General features: G+C 48.2%; 1 long non-coding RNA gene across 1 annotated transcript; it reads right to left on the bottom strand.

Annotated features, from left to right (window-relative positions):
• Positions 1 to 1347: 1347 nt before the first annotated feature.
• LOC124907868 (uncharacterized) lies at positions 1348 to 5353 on the bottom strand. The gene is made up of 2 exons (XR_007087189.1): positions 4961 to 5353; positions 1348 to 4777 (listed from the first exon to the last, which is right to left on the bottom strand). It is a non-coding gene; the product is annotated as an uncharacterized LOC124907868 (long non-coding RNA).

Here is a 15426-nt window from a genome sequence, read left to right on the forward strand (position 1 = left end):
TTGAAGAACTGAAGGAATATATAAAGTAAGTTAACTGGTTTCATTCCAAGGAATGTCAAATAAAACTCCAGTTTCAGAGAGACAGAACTCTACCAGTGTTCCCAAATGCCAAGAACCTTCTATGTCATGTTTTCTGGGACCTAACGTTATTCTCCTTAAACCTGCCATGATTTTCAGTTGAAAAATACCCAAAGTGGATGCGAGCCTTGCCCAGGGAGGGCATCCTGAATGTGTGATTCCCATTTCCCACAACTCAGCGAGGGAGGAAGACCCTGACCAAGAGGAGAGCAGTGATCACTGCTTAGCAGAGAGTAGCTTCTCAGGGACTTAGCATTTGAAACTGACAAGACATTGACCTCAGTTGATCAGCCTGAGCCACCTACTTTTCTTGGCTGCCTCTTCCCCATTCCAGCCACTCTCTGTGTTTAGTTCTTTTTTTTTTTTTTTTTTTTGAGACAGGGTCTCGCTCTATCACCCAGGCTGGAGTGCAGTGGTGTGATCTCAACTCACTGCAGCTTCTGCCTCTCCAGCTCATGCAATACTCCCACCTCAGCCTCCCAAGTATATTGGACTACAGGCATGTGCCACCATGCACAGATAATTTAAAAAAAAATTTTGTAGAGATGGGGTCTCACCGTATTGCCCAGGCTAGTCCTAGAACTCTTGTGCTCAAGCAATCCTCCCGCCTCAACCTCCCAGAGTGCTTGTCTGTGAGTTTAGTTCTGATGACTGAGTCTAGCTGTCCAAAGACGCTGAACTGCTGAGCTCCAAAGAGGGCTGGCCTCTCCCCCGCACCTCTGTGCTGGACTTCTTCAGCACCTGTGAAGGGCCCAGCTGAGGCTGTGGCCAGCAGAGGAAGGGGAACCTTATCCCTCACCTGGTCCCACAAGAGACCACAGGAGGTCTGAAGACATGCCGCCCAATTCTCTGACATTATTATGTCTGATGTTGGTGGCCACTCTGGACACTTGCCCTCTCACATTTCATATACACCCATGTATTTGTGCCATCCGCATATCTCTGATGGCTGGTGGCAGTGTCTGACTGCATCCCAACTCTGCTGAGCAAGAGGTACACGTAAGACAATAGTAGCCAGCACCCAAAGCAACATTTAGGCCAAAAGAATGCACATGTGTGTGAAGGTCTGTGTGTACTTATGCCCGTGTGTTGGAGGTTGGGAGGGATGCCTGATGATATTTATTAGTCACCTTCTTGTACATGCAGTTTTCACGCAGCTTGTTCCTTAGTGCTCATGTCAGTCTCCAAAGGTGAAGATTATTGAGGCCCAGGCACATGAGGGCTATTTCAGTTTACTAGAGCTGCCATCACAAGTTATCACAAATTTAGTGGCTTAAGACGACAAAAATTTATTTGCTCACAGTTTTAGAGACTTGAAATTCACAGTCAAGGTGTTGGCAGGCCATACTCACTCCAAAGGCTGCTTTGTGGCAAGTCCTTCTTTGCCACTTCCAGCTTCTGGTGGGTCCAGGAATTCCTTGGCTTGTGGCTGCATCACTCCAATCTCTTCCTCCATTCTCCCATGGCATTCTCTCCTGTGGCGTGTGTTTGCACGAGTGTGTATGGGGTCATTTTGTTTCTGTGTCCTCTCCTGTTTCTTACAAGGACACTTGTCATTGAATTTAAGCCCACTAAGACAATCCAAGATGATGTCACCTTAAGATCCTTAACCCAGCACTTGGGGAGGCCGAGGTGGGTGGATCACTTGAGGTCAGAAGTTCGAGACCAGCCTGGCCAACATGGTGAAACCCCATCTCTACTAAAACGACAAAAATTCGCTGAGTGTGATGGTGCATGACTGTAATCCCAGCTACTCAGGAGGCTGAAGCACAGGAATCACTTCAACCCAGGAGGTGGAGGTTGCAATGAGCTAAGATCGCACCACTAGACTCTAGCCTGGGGGACAAAGTGAGACTCTATATGAAAAAAAAAAAAATCCTTAACCCCCAAAATGTCACATTTATAGGTTCAGGGTGTTGGATGTGGGGCAGTCTTTCAGGGTGCCACAGTTTAACTCACTACAAAAGGAGACATTTAACACTTATGGCACTGTTTTGGGTGCTTTGCCTGAATTATTTCCATTAGTCTTCAAACAACTTTAAGAGGCATGTGTAAATTATTCCCCCATTTTTACAAGTAAAGATATCAAAGTGCAGAGAGGGGAAGTAAGCCTCCATAGTCACACATCTAGAAAGTGGCAGAACCTGGGCAGGGGTGCTCCAGAGCCTGCTGTGGCCACAGGGTGACTTGCCTGGCTCATAGAGCTGGTCAAAGGCAGCATTGTCACCTCCTGGTCAGAGTCTTCACCTCCACCTCCTGATGTCATCATCATCCCTGGTAGCATTCACATCCAGTCAGACAGACCATGCAGCACCATAGAGGCCACTCCCTCCTGGGCTCCTCAGGTGCCCATTCCTGCAGTCACACCTGTACCATCCCATCCTCAAATCTGGATTCCAAACACCTCTCCCAATCCTCCCAGCCCTGCAGGTCAAGATTCTCCACTGCCTCAGTTTCTTGGCTTCCTTGAGAATTTCAATGCAGTGACTCCCCCTCCTCCCTCTTGAGCCTCCTTCCCAGCTCCTCTTCCTTCCTTCTTTGTCCAGCCTCTGCTACATGGTTCCTCATCATTATTCCAGTGTGAATTTTCTCAGCAACTCTGCCTTTCTATCCTTTGTCACAGCCCCTTGGCAAAGTCCCAACCCTGAATGAAACCTCCCATCCGCTGTCTCCACGCCTGCTCCAGAGCAGTTGCCTGTTCTTGGAGATAATCACACAATAGGGCTGGCTGATTTTGCTCTAAATTCATGATCTTGGCCCATGCACTTGCCCTCAAGACTGCCAGGCAACCCCACCACTCTCTCTAGTAGGCCACTGCCCACTCCCAGATGACAATTTTACTTCTCTTTTTCCTCTCACCTTCCCTTCCACCCTGCTCTCTCCCTCTGGTTCCAAGGGACCCTTCCCCTTCATTACTTCACTCAACTCTCATCTTCCCAATACCAGACTAGGACCCATCCTGGCTGCTTCTCTCTTCTGCTTCTTCCTGTGCTGATGGAGAAAGTCCCTCCACCTGTGCTCTGAATTCATCCTCTCCAGCTCCTTGGGAACTTATTGCTCTCATTGTCCCTCTCTGGCTCTCTCACTAGTCTCTTGGTTTTTCTAGGCAAGTCCAATCAGCACCCAGACATGCTCCTCCCACCTGCAGTTCATCTATCTCCAGCCCCTCCCGTTGACAACTACTTCCCAATCCCTCTATTTTCTTTTAGAGTCAGATTTCTCCAAAGAATATAATTTGTTTGCAGTCTCCATCTCTTAACTCCCATGCACTCCTGGACCCACTGAAGGCTAGCTCTGCTCCCCAGTACTGAGACTGCTTGGTCAAGGTCACCAATGACTCCAACTGGCCAGGCCCAGCCCCACTCTTGGACTTCATCTTAGTCCTGTGACAATATTGACCCCTTTTTCTGCAAACTCTTGCCTCTCTGTTTCTACCACATTCTGCTCTCCAGGCTCTCCTCGTTCTTCACTGGCTGGTCCTCCTTTGCAGGTCCTCCTCCTTTTTCTGACTCCTCCTTGGTCTCCCTTAGGCCCTCTTGGGTCCTCTTTCTTCACTTCACAGGTGAGTTCGTGAAATTCCATGGATTTAAATACTATTCTTATGCCGATCATTCTAAATCTATATCCCCAACCTGGACTTCTTTGAGCTTCCTTCTGACTTGCAGATTCTATTGCCTGCTGACATTTCCACTTGGAGATCTCAGATATCTCCAAACTAGCACATTCAGAGCAGACTTTCCATCCTCCCAACTCCACCTTTGCCATTCCTGTAAAGGGCACGGTATCCCCACCCCAGGTGACTTGACTCTCTCTTCTTGAATGGGTCCTCTTCTCCCTTTACCTAAACCATCAGTAAGTCTTGCTGGTTTGTGCTATAAAATGCACCTTGAATCTATCTCCTAAAATAGCCTGGAAAGCACAGCTCTACCCTCCACCCTTACCTCAGGGTACTCTCCAGAGACACTCCTCTTCCTTCAGTTCCAACCTTGCCCCACCCAAGCCCTTTCCTACCTTTCCCACTTAACGGTCTTGTACCTGTCGTTTTTCTCTTGCCAAGAATGCTCCTCTGTTTTATTTATATAGTAACTATTCTTCCTCCTTGTACATTGCAATTTTAAATGCTGCCCATTCAAAGAGGAAGTCATTCATTAACCTCATCTAAAGTAGGTCCTTTTGGTATTCTTTATCTCAGCCCCTTGGTTATTTTCTTAATTTCCAACATCACAACTTTTTTTCTTTTTGCATGTTTGGCTTTGTTATTGTTGTTATTGACTGTCTCTCTCTCCCTCATTTGCATACAGGATCCAAGAACACCCAGCTCTTGAACATGAACACATTTCCAGGATGTAGAACAGTGCCTGGCATGCTACAGATGTTGAATTAATGGTCAGATGATTGAACACAAGAAACCAATATTTAAACCACATCGGTCTGACTTCAGAGCCCTGCTGTCTTCTCACACTCCACATGCCTTCTTTCAGCAGACAGAATTCTGGAGGAGTTCAGGGTAGGAGAGGGCCCTATGGGTGGGAGGGTCAGAGAAGGCTTCCTGGATGAAGAAAGCTGGATTTAGAAAGGGGCAATCCAGCTGTCCGCCGTGTCCTGCCTTCTGATCCCACCAGGCCCGGTGCCACTCTGCCCCAATCATGGTGAAATGACATTGAGTCTGACTTGAACTTGCTCCTCACATGCATCTAGACTATGGAAGAAGAAAACTGATATCAGCTCCTCGGCTGGCACCTTCTTTTCAGGCATTCAGAAGTCTTTTGAGGCACCTGTGCCTTCCACTCACTCCCCACCTCTGGCTATCTCCATTCCTTACCACCCTCCAAATCCTGCTGGCTTCAAGGCCCAGCCCCAGCCCTCCTCCAGGAGCTCTTACCCAGCCCTTCTGCAGACCCTCCGCTCCTTATCATCTTGTGTCTCAGGATTCTGCTTTTCTCCTCTGCACTGGCATTGCCTTGCTGGCTTCTTAGGGTGAGTTAGGTTGCACTGCAGGAACAAACCAACCCAGCTCTCAGTGGCCAAGTGATGGGCATGATCAGGGCAAGGGGCAAAGCCTCGTACCACAAGCTGACCCTGGTTTGGTGGGAGTCTCTTCTCCCCATCATCCTCTTTCAAAGATATTGGCTGACAGAGCCTCTGCCATCTGGAGCATTGCCAGGCATCAGGGCAGGAAGAAGGGAATGTGGGAAATTCTGCATCAGCTCTTAGAAGCACTCACCAAGTGCTTCATGCCTCTTCTGCTCATGTTTTACAGGCTAGAGCAATCACATGGCCATGCCTAACCTGAAAAGTGAGGAGAGGTGGGAAGCAGTGAGTGCAATCCTATGATGTGGTCAGAAGAAGCAGCAATGGAAACATTGGTGGATAAGCCTTGTGGCTACCATACCACATTGAAGTTCCAAAAAGTTGGAGGCTGTGTTACTTGTTATGCTTTCTCTTCACTGCAGTACTTAGCCTGTAGCTTGGGCAAAGATGCCAAGTGAACTAGGACCACCTCCAAGCCTGGCAAAGACTTCCTTTCCTCTAAGAGAGGCTATGATGCAAGAGGTAGTTGAGAATTTTTGAGAATGTTGGCTGAAGCTATCAAAACGCTGGCAGGGCTTTGTATAAAATTTATGGGAGCTGACCTCTCCTTGATCTTTAGTTTCGAGTCTCAAACCCCTTTTCTTTTTCTGTTAGTATTCAACCCCCTCCACCTTCACCCCCATCTTCTAGGTCTCTCTAGAACTGTCCCTGGCTCGACTGTTCAGGTTGAACAATCTTCTGCCTGACCCGGAGAACACAAAGCAACTCCCTTCTGTTGGCTGTAATGTGTGAACGCTGAGCACTTCTCAAAGGCCAAGCACTGAGTTCAATGCTCTCTCAGATCATTGGATTAATTATTGTCACAAATTAGCTGGTGGAAGCTCCACTGTTCAGGGGATTTCACAGAGGAGGACTCTAAGGTTTAACAACTGACCCGAGGCACTTGGCTGGTGGGCAGTGTCTCTGGGCACCTCCCTAGCTGACTCTCCTATGCCACCTGCCTCGTGACCGGGCACATGGCCGAAGGGGTGAGTGGGTGCCAAAGGTCGACCTTGAAGCGTGTCACCCGCTCCCTGGGGAACTAAGTGTTCTGTGTGGGGGCTGAAGTGCAGAGATAATAGTGGAATTTACCTCTCAAGACTGCAGGGCTAAGTGTGACTTTTGTTTGATAAGCTTGGGTTTTATGTCTTTAGGAGCAAACAAACAAACCATAAAGTGGCAGTCTGTTGGAGTGAGTCCCAGCTGAGCTTGCAGGAAGGGAGAGGCTCTGGGCTCTGCCCCTGGGGAAGAGCGAGAGAGGCAGGCACAGTGCGGGTGGGGGAGACTCATAGAGCTTCCCTTTCCTCATGTGAAAAGTAAATCGGATTCTATGGTAATAACCCAAAGCTCACTTAAAAGGCTCATTAATGAGGAAAACAATAGCAGTAAGAACAATGGCTATATTACACTGATGCCGTGTGCCAGACAAGATACTGAGAACTTTCTATGTATCATCTTTTTGAATTACCCCATTTTAGATATGAGGAAAGTGGGGATTAGGCATTTAAAATGTGCCCAAGCTCATACAGTCAGTGAGTGACAGAGCTAGGTTAGAAGCCCAGCAAGACGTCCAGGCCCCACGCCCAGCCACTAAGCTTTACTGTGGAATGTTGACAGTGATGATGTAAGAGGGGGTGGCGCGGATAAAGATGGCCATGATGATGATGATCATGACTCCAAACTCTTTGCTAGTTACTCCATTCTTAGCCTCTTCTAGAAGTGCAAGCCTCCCCTGGCTGCCCAGCCATAGGGGATAAGTAGCTTTGCTTGTAGGGAAGAGGTACCAGGTGAGCATGAGCACTCCTTTACCTGTTCAGTTCCATTTCCAGGGAACACTGTGCAGCGCCAGCCTGGGAGGCCACCCGTGCAGACGTGCTGAAGGAAGACACTTCCCAGGGCCGTGTTGATGCAAACTCTGTGGAGCACAGCTCCCCGTGCCCTGAGGTGTTTTCCTGGCTCTAGGCTCTGGCCAGCCCTTTTCCCTCCAACCTAGCATGGTTCCCTCTGCTTCATCTCATCTGCCCAGCCTGGAACGCGCTGCCTTGACTTTTCCACGTGCTTAAAGCCTACTCATCCATTAGGGCCCAGCTCAAGAACATGTGGTTGGTTGCTTTGTTCTTCCATTCGTTCATTCATCCATTCGTATTTTTCGATCATGTTTACGAATCTCCTGCAATGTGTCAAGTATGTGTGGTGTAGAGGGATGAGCATGGGTTGGGGGTGCCAGGCATAGGTTCGATCCTGTCCCTTCTCAGCCATGTGACTGAGCAAGTTGCTCCCTGAGCTTCAGTTTTCCCATCTTTAAAATGTGGATTATCAGTGAGACTCTGTGAGCCCAGAGAACCATAAGCACTAACTTTCCCCTACAAGTCCCCTCTGTCACCCCCTCTCACACCCTCTCTGCATCGCTAGCTCCCCCTGGCCACTGTTCGAGTGGGAGCACGCTAATTCAGCAAGTCAATCAATGGTCACAAGGAAGATGCCAGGGCCGAGGGCTGGTCTTCTCTTAACTGTAGCATTAAGACCATGACTAGATTCAAGGCAAAGTCTCAACAAGAGCTGGTTGGCTCCCCAGGCCACTGTGCAGTTCCGTGGAACACAGGCCTTCCTGGGTGTCCAGATCAGAGTCAGGGGAGGTATGCAGGCCTTCAGGTCTTAAGGGCCATCCTGCTGAAGACTTGTCAAGAGAAGGGAGCACAGCTCCCTCCTGCTCCCATCTGAGCCAGCCTAGGCAGGGCCAGCACTTGGTGATGATGACATGTCCCAGTCAGGTGCCTGACTGGTGAGGGTGCCTGGTCTCCCTCTATGTTCCAGTAGAGACTCCATGTTCATCCTGATGGAGGCCGGCCCTCTGAGGGGAGGGGAGGCCACCTTGAAGGCCCTGCCCTTGGCCTGGCAGAGCCTTTTCCTCCTTAGGGGCTGACTCAACCTCATGAGGATGGACGAGCTTCTCAGGAAGGGACCCCAACCACCAAGACTGAAACCCTCCTTTCTCCCGTATTGGCAGTCATTCTCGTTTACATTGGATGCAGTGGTCACCCATTGCCCAGTCTTTCTAATGTGCCTGGCCTCTTCTCTGTCTTAGCCATGCAGGACAAATGCAAAGGGCAGCTAAGAACCTAATTTAAAAAGCCCGCAGGCAAAAGGGCACTGGGTCGAGACACCAATGCCTGGTCCCTCTGGGGATGCACTTACATCATCTGAGAATTTCTTCCCAAATGAGAGAGGAAGAGACAGAGCTACAAAGGAAGAGAGGAAGAAAAAGGAAAGCTCATGACAGGGAGAGACTGAGAAAGGGACAAAGTAGGCCCTGTGGGTGCAGCCCAAACCGGCCCACATGGGCTTTGATGACAGAGCCGAGGATTTGCCTTTTGCTCAGAGGAAGGGAGGGGGCTTCAGGGCGGCTCTGGGGCTGCAGAGTCAGAGCCCAAGCCCCTAGCAGGTCCCCCAGCCCGGGAGGCAGAGTGTGCAGCCAGGGCAGCCTCTGGACACCATCAAATTGCACACAAAAACCTGGGGCCTCCATGGGAACTGCAGATTATACAGAGTGAGTGGGGAGGAGGGCAGGGGATTGAAATTTTATTCTTTCTTCCTCCTTCCTTGAAAATTCCGATCACTAAAAGTAAAAACATACACACACATACTCACTCACACACTCACTCACCCATGCACATACCATCTTCAACGCCTGGGCTATTCCATCTTTGCCAAAAAGAACCAAGATGTTATCTGTGAGGTATGTCTGCATGAGCTTAGACAAGACCAAACCTACATCCTCTCTCCTTGCAAAAAAAAAAAAATGCATTTACTTTTCTTCCAAATCCAACAAAAATAAATTTAAAATGTTAGAAATAGTTACTGAGCTTCTAGAAATTGTTATAGTACCGAAAGTGAGGAAATTAATTGTTACCTGGCCCAGGCACTTCACTTTCGCCTAAGCCCCAAATAAAATGGATTTTTCCTCTTCTAGTGATCTATTGATGTATAATGAGCCATCTACAACTTAGTAGCTTAAACCATAGCACCAATCCTTTTTTATTAGCTCTCATAGTTCTGGTGGCTGACTGAGCTCAGAAGGGCCACTCACGGTCCTTTTTGTAGATGCGGTCAGGCTAGGCTGGAGTCACCTGAAGGCTTCTGGACTGACAGGGATGGTGGTGGATGGTGGTTGACGTTGTCTGTTGGTGGGATCTCAGCTGGTGCTGTTGGCTGGAACACCTCTATATGGTCTCTCCATGTGGCCTGAGCTACCCCACAGCATGGTGTCTGGGTTCCAAATGGGAGTGTCCCAATAAGACCAGGAGGAAGCTGCATTGCCTTTCATAACCTGGCTTCAGAAGTCACAGAATGTCACTTCTGCCATAGTTGCAGGTCCACCCAGATTCAAGGATGGACAATAAACCCCACCTCTTTTTGGGAGGAGTGAGAAGACCATTTGGGATAGGAGATCTTATTGCAGTCATCTTGGCTAATGCATTTTCTCCATGTTTTTAAGTATGGAGGTGGTATTCTTTTTAAAAATTATCGTCCTCGTTATCACCATTGCACCAATGTACATGGGTCATGGGCTCCCCAGGCCAGCCCTACCCTTTGCAAACCTGTTCAGACTTCCAGCTCACTAACTTCTCCCCCTCCAGCCCAGGCCCCAGGGCATTCAACCCAGATCTCAGAGGCCTGTGCCCTCCTGCCTTGGGTCCCACAGTGCAGGCCTCCAATATTGTCACTGTTGTCCTCATTCCACTCTTCCACTTTGATCATCACAGTGAAAATTGCTTACAGTCTGCAGAGCTGGGTAGCAATCTCAGCTCTGCATTTACTCCTTAGCATCCTTCATTGAATGGAGATGAAAATCTCTTCCCCTCAGGACCTCCAGGTAGGTGAAATGAGTGGTGGCAAATCACTCAGCATATGGAGAGTGTCTAATGTTGATGGCCAAACTGGCCAATCTCCCTCCCACTTTGTAAAGCAGACCAGGCAGCCTTTATTATTATCATCACATGCATTTTATGCATGAGGCGAATAGGGTTTGCGGGTCTGCCAGACTTCCCGCCAGGCTTGTCCTAGGTGTTCTTTCTACCCAGTCAGCAGCCTGGCTGCTCTGCTCCGTCCCACGGGCTGGGCATTGTGCTGGGAGCTCCATGCACAACCAGAGAGCTGCCTGTCTTCTGCGTGTTGAGCACACACCATGCCAGTTTCCCTAACCCGTAGAAAAGGCTCAATACAAGCTGGGTGTGGTGGCTCATGCCTGTAATCCCAGCACTTTGGGAGGCCGAGGTGGGCGGATTACCTGAGTTTAGGAGTTTGAGACCAACCTGGCCAATATGGTGAAACTCCATCTCTACTAAAAATACAAAAATTAGCCGGGCATGGTGGCGCATGCCTGTAATCCCAGAAAGCTGAGGCAGGAGAATCGCTTGAACCCAGGAAGCAGAAGTTGCAGTGAGCTGAGATTGCATCATTGCACTCCAGCCTGGGTGACAGAGTAAGACTCTGTCTCAAAAAAAAAAAAAAAAAAAAAGAAAGAAAAAGAAAAGAAAGGCTTGATTCAAGTGTGTTGGATGGAAGAGCTAAGTGGTTTGAGGCAAAGATGCCTCTTGGGGAGCCCTTGGGCTCTGTAAACAGCTGTTGGAGAGATCTTTCCAGAACTGGCTCCCCTAGTAGCTTTGGGCTTTGATTCACAGGCCACAATTGCTATATACCCAGGTCTTTTCAGGAACATGTCTGTATCCAGGCAGGTCCATGCAGAAACTATAATCTAGTTTTAGTCCTAAGGATGCTAGTAACCTTTGTGTGGCCTGCCACACTGAATCAGCTAGAGATTCCTAGGCCTCAAGTCTCCTCAGATCCTGATTCAGCAGGGGTGTGTGTGGACATCTGCATGTCAAATCTCCCAGGGAATGCTGGGCCAGCCAGGCTAGTGACCCCCAGAAACCCTGCCCCGTGTAGGAGCACAGCAGCCTGGTAGAGTGATTATAACTGTGGGCTCAGGTGCTGATGGCCAGGGTTTATATCCTGGGTCCTGCAGTTTTAGTAACTGTGGCACCTTGGCTTGTTACTTAGACACCCTGTGCCTCAGTTTCCCCATCTTTAAAATGGAGATAATGGTGGTGGGGAAATCAGGATGCTGTGACAAGGATTAAATGAGTTGCTGCACCAGAACCTCAGCTCACACTTTACAAAGCTGGGTGGATGGGTGGGGTGCCTAGTTTTTGGCTACCTCTTGTATGTTCCTTGAGCCTTGGCTCTAACGAAGCCAGAGCCTTGGCCCCGCTTGCAGGGGGAAGGCAGAAGTCTCTCTCAGACTCCCCTCCAAGACACAGATCCCTTCCCCCCAGGAGCCCACAATTCAGTGGAGACAACATAAGCCAGACACACACACAGGAGGGACTTTTTTCCAAAACGCAAATGAGTGCAAAAGACAGTTTCTATGGTTACTACACACACCTTTAAAAAAAGAGAAGGGTGCGTGTGTGTGTACGTGTGTGTTTAACACGAGACAGAACCCAAAGACCACCTTGAGATTGCTTGCAGTAGACAGCCAGAAGGGAGGATAGGCAGAGGGGTGGACTGCCCACCACATGCCCTTGGCGTGGCCTTGACCTACAGCTACTTCCATGGCTGAACCAGGAAGCAAGAAGCCTCCTCCAGTGGTTGTCAGCCACACAATGCCAAGGGCCAGTCCCTTCCAGGCCAAACCAGAGACAGGGATGTGATTCTCCAGTTCATTTTAGTCAGCTATGAAACCTCAGCCCTGCTGCAGGGGTAGGGGAAGAAATCAGTATGTGTATGGCCAGCAATTATCACACATTTCCTAAAATGTAATGTGTTCACTGCTTAGCTCTTCAGCTTAAGTGACCGAATGAAGATTCCTTTTCCCTGGAATCACTCTGTGACTGTCAGGGCCATCAGGGAGTGAGAAACTCACTTGAGGATGCTGAGTATTTGTGAATTTATCTCCTCTTTAAGATACAGGCCCCAGATTCTGGCCCCTGGCAGTTTCCCTGCATTGTCTTGAGTCTGGAGCTTTCTGCTTGGGTGGGTCTCAGAAATCTTACTGATTTCTGCTTTTTTGCCCACTAAAGGAGATAATTTCACTGCTAAACGGGTCAAATTCTCTTCTGAGGATGGGTCTAAATTCTTGCTAAATATACCTGAATTAACTCTGTCACTGTCTAAATATTTGTGTGTCCCCATAAATTCCTATGTTGAAATCCTAACCCCCCAGGTGATGGTATTGGAGGTGGGGCCTTTGGGAGGTGAAGACGTCATGAGGGTGGAGCCCTTATGAATGGGATTAATGCCCTGATCAAAGAGGCCCAGAGCTCACTCTTGCCTCTTCTGCCATGTGAGGACACAGTGAGAAGACGGCTGACCACGAACCAGGAAGAGGACCCCCACGGCTGCTAGCACATTGATCTCAGACTCCTCAGCTTTCAGAACTGTGAGAAATAAATGTTTGTTGCTTAAGTCACTCAGTCTATGATTTTTTTTTATAGCATCCCAAACTGACTAAGACAAAGCCCTTCCGTGGAGATCTTGGGAGAATTTCACATCATCTGCCCTATTTCCATTTCCTCCATTTCCTATTTTCTGCAAATTGCAGACCCACTAATTCACTGGGTATCTAGGTTGCTTAATAGATAAGCCAGGTGTGTAGCTCTCCATCAGGTCTATGAAGAGTACTGGGGGTGTAGACAAGGCTCTGTGAATTCAAAGTGCTGGTATTCTTTCAAGATGCCCAGACAATCCATGAGAACAGCTGTGTGCTCACCTCCTGAGGTGCCCACCTCCTTTGGCACTGTCTCATTATATTCTGAACAGCCCTGTGAGGTTGGCAAGGTGGTCACCATCCCCACTTTTTAGATGGGGAAGTAGAGGCTCAGAAGGAGTATGCAACTGGGCCAAGGTTGCAGTGCCAGTGAGTGATGGAGAGCCACACTGCACCCAGCCTCTCAGTCTCCGTAAGCCCTAACCTCTGGGCCTCTTACCCTTGTGGCTCTGCACCGAGATTATGACCACCTATGGGCTCAATCTGAGTGTGCTCAATAGAGATCTCTGCTGCTGATACCATAAGACAGTAGATCATCCTTAGCTGCTCATATAAACCATCTGGGGAGCTTTAAAAATTTCCAATGCCCTGGACTGTTCAGCAAGCCATTTAACACAGAGTCCCTGGGAGGGGGAGTCAGAGATCAATGATTTTTAAAGCTTCCCAGGTGATTTCAGCAAGATTAAGAACCACATCTTTGTGCTGAATCAGCAAGAATCAGAGGCTGTCTGCAGGGGGCTGTCCTTAAATTTTAAGAAGCTGATACCCCTTATAGGTAAACTGGATACTGCCCTCCTGCAGGTGGAAGGAAGTGTGTCTTGATGCATTCCTGGTTTCACCATCCAAAGCCAGTCAAAGTGCTTACTGGACCACAATCAGAGATTGTTCAATCAATACCTGCTGTGCCAAAGTCCAAAGAATTATTTCTGGCAATATTATCCCATCTGTGGTCAGATCGTGCTAAGTGATGTTGGCCCTACAGCTGTAATTGATACTCAAGGATGGTGGCCCCATGGCCAAGTCTGTCTTAAAACTGCCCTGTCCAGTGGCATGAAACCTGGAGGCTGAGGATCCTCCCAGAGCTGGGAGGGTGGGTGGTGATGGTAGATCCCTCCCTGGGGAACCATGTACATGCTCTAGTGCCTTGTACAGCTGCCATACCTGTGCCTACAGGAGAAGATGTGTGTGAATTATTATTTATGTAAGACAAAAGAAAAAAGATGAAATATTGAAGGAGCCAAGATTCCTAGGGCAATAAGCCAGCTAGCACATCTACCCTACTGTGATTTGAAAACCTAGCTTCTCAAGTAGGCATGGCCTGATGTATGCCAGTCTGATTTGGTTGAGTTCTTTTTGGTTAAAAAGAGTGTGATGACAAAAATTAGAGGAAAAAAATACATAAACTCTCTATCCTTCCAGGCTTTTCCCAAAAATATATTTTACGGTTGGACTCCTTATATACTGACACTTCCACTTCCTGCTTTTTTTACTCACTGCTTTGCCACCCTGCTACACAGGCCTCAATAAACACAAGTTATTCGCCTATCCACTAGGACTGCATTCATTTCTTCATTATTATTTTTCAGTGAACATTTTCTGCATGTGATGTTTTCCTTTTTCTGGACTGTTTGGTTAACATAAAGTTACAGAACTAGAATTACTGAGTAGGAACTTTTAAATGACTGTATTACTAAATTGCTTTCCAAAAGAGTTACATTGATATATGTTGCCCTCAATAGTAGACACCTGGCAGATCCCATCAAACTTCACCAGGATTTTTTGTATTTTGTAAGTACAAAACACCGCTTACTGCAAAAAATCAGTAAGCTGGTTTTTTTTTTTTTTTTTTTTTTGGCGGCTTAAAATACAAAATGAAAACATGGTGGTGTTGTTATGTGGGCTTCTTTGATTTCTAGCAATTTTCATTCCTTCCTTCATTCATTCATGCACTCACTGATGGATATGTTTATTGGATGCTTATTCTGTGTCAGGCACCATTCTAGGCACTAGGACGCAGTGAGCAAAACATAAAAATCCCCACCCCTGAGGAAATTACCAAATATATGTATTTTTTCTGTACTCTAGCAACCACATGGCTTGATAATAGTGGGGACAGGGCACTCAGGCAATTTCCATGCACACGTTTAATTCATACAGCTGAGTGCTACAGAGGCTCCACAAGACCCTTTTTGCAGGTGATGAAGTGCAGGCTTGCATTGCCTGACATCCCTCATGGGACCCAGAACCCTGGGTCCCCAGTCCCTGATTATTGGGCACTGTCCACCCTCCCTGTGTACAGGAAAGTCAGGCAGAGCTTTGGCAGGGTTGGGCTGGGCACTGACCGAGGTGCCAGGGTGTGAGGGGCACCATACAAACCCTGTCAGTCCCCAGAAAGCCACATCTAGGCCTTCCCAGGAACAAACTCTCCTCCAGATAAAAGCTAAATGGTGAAAGATGTCTGTTTTCAGGGCCACTAAGGGCTAGCTTGCCAGGGTGGCCAGTTCTGTCCTGCCTGGATGCAAGTCGGAGGATTCTTGATCTCCTAGCCTGAGTGGACCACTCACTCCAGTGTCCAGTTCTGAACCTGCCAATTCTATAGCTGTGCTTTCTCTCCAGAAACTGAGTCTCAAAAACATCAAGAACATTCTCCATAACTGCAGTTAATCATTACAGCCAGTAGGATGAGTTCTGCCGAATGCTCTCACATCTATGCTTGTGCTGGGCGTGGG

Source organism: Homo sapiens, chromosome 2 (genome assembly GCF_000001405.40).
Source record: "Homo sapiens chromosome 2, GRCh38.p14 Primary Assembly".
Classification (NCBI taxonomy): Eukaryota; Metazoa; Chordata; class Mammalia; order Primates; family Hominidae; genus Homo; species Homo sapiens.